Below are 7,071 nucleotides of genomic sequence, written 5' to 3'. Positions count from 1 at the left end.
TCTTCGTGGATTTATCTACCTTTGGTTTTTGATGTTGATAACCTTCAGATGGGGTTTTTGCATGAGCATCCCTTTTGTTGGTGTTGATGTTATCACTTTCTGTTAGTTTTCCCTCTAACAGTCAGGCCCCTCTGCTGCAGGTCTGCTGGAGTTTGCTGGAGGTCCACTCCAAACCCTGTTTGCCTGGGTATCACCAGTGGAGGCTGCAGAACAGCAAAGATTGTTGCCTGCTCCTTCCTCTGGAAGCTTCGTCCCAGAGGGGCACCTGTCAGATGCCAGCTGGAGCTCTCCTGTATGAGGTGTCTGTTGACCCCTGCTGGGAGATGTCTCCCTGTCAGGAGGCACAGGGGTCCGGGACCCAACTGAGGAGGCAGTCTGTCCCTTAGCAGAGCTCAAGTGCTGTGCTGGGAGATCTGCTGCTCTCTTCAGAGCTGGGAGGCAGGAACATTTAAGCTGGCTAAAGCTGCGCTCACAGCTGCCCCTTCCCCCAGGTGCTCTGTTCCCAGGAGATGAGAGTTTTATCTATAAGCCCCTGACTAGGGCTGCTGCCTTTCTTTCAGAGATGCCCTGCCCAGAGGGGAGGAATCTAGAGAGGAAGTCTGGCTACAGGGGCTTTGCCACCCTGAGGTGTTTTCCACACCCTGTTAAAACTTCCCGGTGGCTTTGTTTACACTGTGAGAGGAAAACTGCCTACTCAAGCCTCAGTAATGGTGGATGCCCCTGCCCCCATCCCAGGTCGACTTTAAACTGCTGTGCTGGCAGCGAGAATTTCAAGCCAGTGGATCTTAGTTTGTTGGAGTCTGTGGCGGTGGGATATGCTGAGCAAGACCAGTCAGCTCCCTGGCTTCAGCGCCCTTTCCAGGGAAAGTAAAACTAAGCCAACCATTTCACACCCTCTAGATTTTAGAAAACTTAAAGCTAGATGTTCATTAAGTGTAGGAAACAATACCTAGCATTCGCAGATGCAAGTGGCAATGCAATTTAATATCATGTCATGATGTTAAGATGCACCAACCGGCCGGGCGCGGTGGCTCACGCCTGTAATCCCAGCACTTTGGGAGGCCGAGGTGGGTGGATCACGAGATCAGGAGATCGAGACCATCCTGGCTAACACGGTGAAACCCCGTCTCTACTTAAAATATAAAAAATTAGCCGGGTGTGGTGGCGGGTGCCTGTAGTCCCAGCTACTTGGGAGGCTGAGGCAGGAGAATGGCGTGAACCTGGGAGGCGGAGCTTGCAGTGAGCAGAGATTGTGCCACTGCACTCCAGCCTGGGCGACAGAGCGAGACTCCGTCACAAAAAAAAAAAAAAAAAAAAAAGATGCGCCAACCTTCCCACTCCCAGCGTGTATCTTAGAAAAATTCTTGAACAATTGCACCAGAAGAGAGGTAAATAATATTTATAGCAGCATTTTTTTACAATAAAAATAATAAAATAATACTCATTGAAATACCCATCAATTATAGAATGAATACAAAGTTTTGGTATAGTCTTACATGAAATACTCTGCAGCAGTATAAATGAATGCATTTCAGCCATATATATTAAAATAGAGTCTCAGGGACATAATGCTGCATTCAAAAAGCAAATCACAGAAGAATGAATATAGCATAATTCTATTTATGTAAATTTCAAAAACACAAAACCAAATATTATTTAGAAATACAAACATATAAGGTAGAGGTATGGAATTGAAGAAGGACACACAGAGAAACTGAAGTGTACTGATAGTGTTCTATTTCTTAAACTGGTTGACAATACCTAGATATTGATCTTATTGCTATTCTTTTTACCTTATTCAAATATTTTACTCTCTTTATATATTCAATATTTAATAAATTAATTAAAAATACATCAAGTGAAGAAAAAGGAATCAATTTTTTCCCTGCTCCAATGCGGTATAATTGCAAGTCACTATCAGAATGCTTCTTCATAACAAGTGACTCCTGAAGAATTCAGTTCTGCACAACACACAATTTGTAGGCATAAAGATGAGATGGCTGCAGAGTATGCACAATTTATTGTCATCCTTTGAAGATCAATGTGCTTCTTAACCACTTTGTTAAGCAAGAAAAAGATGCACAAGCAATAGTTTGTACCTTTCCAAATGTCCTGCCTGTCTCATTCACTTTTGCTAATCTTCCTATCTTAGCAACTTATTCTGTACAATGTATTTTTCATCTTTTTTTCTCTACCTCAAATGTCCAAGGACATATGGATAAAATGGTGAAATTCATCTTCAAATCAATATACAATCCTAAAAAATAACCTGAAGATATTGCAGTAGTCTCATATTTCATGTTGCTAGTAAATTTTCTGCTTCCCGTTTTTTTGTGCCCGCAATATTTAAAGATTTGGGACACGTGAAAATAAGAAACTGTCCACTAGAAGAAATTTATTTTTAATCAAGTTAGCACAATAATTTCATTACTATTAAAGCAATTAAACACATGGTAACACAAAGCTTTCACCTAAAGTCATATAATCTATGAGAGAATAGCACCTTTTTGTTAAAATTCAGTTTCATATTTTAATGTAGTATTGATAGAGTAACTCCTAGGTTTTTACCAATAAATTAATCCCATTTAAAATATTTTCTACCTTGGATACTTACTTATATTTTCCATATAAATATCAGTGTAAAATAGTCTATGTAGTACCAATTTGGGGGTCTCTTGAAGTTTAAAGTGGTATGTTTTTCTATTCTTACAAATTTGGTCAGGGTTTATCCATTTCCAAGATATCCATCGAAATTTTAAAATATGAAAGCCTACAAATGAAGAGTATGGTGGCAACCAGAATGGGTGGGATACAGAAAGAAACAAACGATGCCATACAACTTTAGTGAAGAAATCTAAGCATTGCTTTTTAAAATTAAAATAATAAAGCATCAAAGCAAAGATCTCACAATAATCAGACAATTTTCTTAGGAGTGTAATGGGAAGAGGTTGTTGCAGATATGGCTAATCTAGGAAGTCTTACTGGAAAACAAGATATGAAAGCTGGATATAAAACAATGGGTACGATGTGGATAGATAAGGAAACATTTATGTTCAAAAATTTAAGCAGATAATAAAGACAGAGAAGCAAAAGATATTTAAAGACAATGAGTAGGAAAGTATAGTAATTGTATGTCTGTCTTTGCTTTCACAGGAGAAGGGGAAAATAATGTGACTACCTCTGGCCAAAGCACTGAATTCCACTTCAAGACCCACCTTTTCCCTCAGCTACAATGACTGGCACTGTTTTATAAAGTGGTTGTTTTATCAGCCTGGGATCTGGCACAAGGACAGTGATGATCAGAGGCCCAGCTGAGCCTCAAGCACACATAACATGCATTTTCAACTCCAAGCCCCTGAGATTTGGGAGCTGCCTATTAAGAAGCGTAACCTATTCCATCCTGACTATTTCACAGAGGGAACAGTTAAAAGAATAATGAGATATTATTTCAAATAAGGAAATTATGGAGAAGTTTAAATGACAGGCAAACATATTTGAAGTTTATTAAATAAAAAGTCAGTAGGAAATTATTGAAGCTTTGTGAAGAGGGAAAGCAATTAGTCAATGGAGAGTTTTAAAATCAGTGTGGTCACAGCAGTAGGACAAATTAAAGAAGGAAAGAACAGAGATATGAAGACTAACTAGTTAACAGTCCATTGCAAAATCCCAGTGAAAAATGGTAAGCTCTCTGAACAGAGAATGATTGAAAATTGAAGAAGAGAGAGGGAACAGTGAGAAATGAATCTAGCATTTCAAGCCTGAGTACCTGGGAGAAATGTAGGACTATAAATAACAGATATAGAATAGCGCAATTAAGAGGACTGTCTATTTCTGTTGATAATAGTATCATTTTCTTAAATTTGTTTTGACAAAAATTATTTTAGATATGTCAGGTTTGGGGTGACAGACAGTGAGTCAGATATGTTGATGTATCCAACAGGAAAGCAGAGATATGGAAATACAGAAAAGTTCAAAAGTCAGTGGTAAAGAATTGGACCTGGTAGCCATCTGCGTACGGGCTGGCTTGGGTAGTTGTCTAGAAGTGGTGATGTTATCCAAGATAGAAACTGCACAATGAGAAACAGTTGCGGGGTTGTATCCATCAGGGTTTAGTGTAGAAAACAGAATTTACAGATGAGGAACTGCTCTTTCCACCCTGCAGTAAGGGCACTGCTGCCAACATCACATCTGGGGCATTCAGAGCGCCTGATGCCAGAAGTTTTGTCTGCTGGAGCTGCTTTTCTGCCCACAGCACTATAAAAAAGAATCACCTCCGTTTTCCAAATAGTTCGTGAGTGCATTTCATTGGCACAACCTTAATCACATCCAGGACCCTAGCCACAAAATGTCTTTAAAACATAGTGTTTAGACTAATAGCCCCTATAATATTATGTTAATGGTGGAAGAGTGTAGGAACATACAAAGGAGATACAAATGGATGCTGATTGCAAGTAGACAATGCAAAGTCCCCATGGGACATCAAAGTAGAGAAATCTAACATCCCTTAGGTAAATTAAAAATGAAATTCTGGGACCTTAGAGAAAGATGGGGAAATATCAACATTTAGATCAGGGGTGTCCAATTTTTTGACTTCCCTGGGCCACTTTGAAAAAATTGTCTTGGACCACACATAAACTACGCTAACACTAACAATAGCTGATGAGCTAAAAAAAAAAATCACAAAAAAAGTCTTATAATGTTTTAAGAAAGTTTACGAATTTGTATTGGGCAGCATTCAAAGCCATCCTGGGCCGCATGCACCCCACAGGTCGTGGGTTGGACAAACTTCACTTAGATGATAAGTTGAAGCCGTGGAACTAATTGAGATTGTTTAGAGAGAGGATTTAGATCATTTGAGGTGTTAAATCCCCATCCTGGTGACCACAGTGTTTAAAAAGAAAGCCTATGTTTAAAAGGCAGGAAGAAAAAGCTGCATCAAGGGAAATTTGCTCCATATCAGGCTTTAGTAGCCCATTTCTGACAAGGAATTTCCTAATACTGTACTTAAAATACCGTAGATTAACCCTATGTAGTGAATTAAAAGAAGAACATGTGAAGGTGTATGTGGTTTGAAACAGGAAGAACTGAATGGAGCTGATAACCAGTTAGAATTAACCAGTTAAAATATAGTAATGTATACAATTTCCCAGTGTGAATGTAAATATGCCATGCATGTTACCTGAAAATTAATATTAAGCTCTGATAAGATTCTTATTTCTAAAAGTTGACACTGTTGTATTGCCTTTAAATTTGAAGGTGAGGTATAAAATTAAAACCTATACTATTTTTTCATAGTTTTCCACTTGGACCAATTTCACAACTAAATTGTTTTTTGAAAAAGTACTTTTTAAATGAGCACTTATTCTGTTCAAACAGTATTAGGCATTATGTGGGATCCAAAGATAAGACATTGTCCCTCCTGTCAAATGCACCAAAATTGATTAAATTAAGATGTAACTTGGGGTCATGCTTATTGCTAGAGCAATTTTTTCATTTTTCCTTCTTATTTTCAGAGAGAATAAAGTCTCCTTCTACTGAGGTAATAGCTACCACAAAGATTTTATAACTTAAACTGTTTTGTAATAATTTTTATTTCTCTATAATTTGGGTCTAATGAGACTGCAATTTTATTTTACATTTTATCCTTTTTTGTTAAGTATATTCTTCCTATTACTTTAATAAAAAAACAAAATGAAGTTTTTAACATTGTTAAGAAGTGTCTGCTTGATTCTTCTGTTAGTTCAAATCTAAATCTGTTCATAAGCTTTATGAAATTACATGTAACAAAATACATTATCTACACATAGACAAATATACCCATAGAATTTTGAATTAACATTATTAATGGTTAATAAACAAATTCATCAATCATGTCTTCATTCGCACTTTTATTGTCAATGCTAATTATTTGTTATTATAAAGTCAGAAGTTTCTATTGAATTAGGATTACTAGTGATAATGAATAAGTTAAAATGTGTTTGAAATTGCACAGTGCCTACATTAGGCAGCAACTCAGATATGAACAGCATTTTCACATGGTAATATCAGTTGTCTTGGGACATCAAGATTTCTGACCTTTAAAAAAAGTCAGAAATTTACTTTTCCAACACCTGTTCTGTGTGTGCATGCGTGTGTATGTGCAAGACCCCATTATTACAGCAAATATATCTATAATATTGTAAATATTTAGGCATTCTACATTTGCACAAACTTGAAAAATTGTAACCTAGAGCTTTCTATCGGCCCTTATTGTTTAACTCAGACATTTAGGGTTGCTTTATTGATTTTTCATTCAGTCCTAAAGTGGATTCTAAACACTGTGAAATTACAAGGCCAATAATTGCTGTCTTAAAGTTTTTACACTTACTGGAATAGTTAGCATTTGTTTGTATTTTGATTGGATTTGAACAGGAAACAGGGAGAGGTCCTGCTGACAGTTTGCTTCCATGGAACTGCATAAGATTTCAACATGTCACTGTATTCAGTTTGGGGACTAAAGGGACAAATCCCAGACAAGTTAAGTAGAAACTGAGAGTAAAAATGCCCAAGAAACCAAATAACAATTATATCCAAATTGCCAAGAGGCAGAAGTCTGAAATAATCATTATCAGAGTAAAAACAGATAGGAAAAACAAAAAAAGTGATGGTTCAGTGGCAGTTTCTGGCAACAGCTTTATGGTGTCTGTTGCTCGACCGCATTAATAGATAAGAGTACATGAGGAATTATGACAGCCTGGCTTGAAGGTAGGGTGACCAACTTTTTAGAAAGCCAGCCTGGGACACAGTCAAACCAAACCAAATAACCCACAATAAAACACTATATAATAAATAACACTCATATGTGCCATTACTTTAACATTAAAATATGAATAATAGGTGTTTATCAAAATTATAGATTATTCTGTATTATTTATTTTTCTTTTATGTAACTGCTATAATTTAAGCAAAACAACAGTAGAAATAGTTAATAGGCAATAAACAATAGTTACTTATAGTAGGACAAATTAAATAATATGTGAGCAAAATATATATTGATATTTTTACAATGTTTCTTTAAAGGAATTTTTAAAT

This window comes from Homo sapiens, chromosome 8, assembly GCF_000001405.40.
Source record: "Homo sapiens chromosome 8, GRCh38.p14 Primary Assembly".
NCBI lineage: Eukaryota > Metazoa > Chordata > Mammalia > Primates > Hominidae > Homo > Homo sapiens.
The sequence above is the reverse complement of the archived record's forward strand: the minus strand, read 5'-3'. Positions refer to the sequence as shown.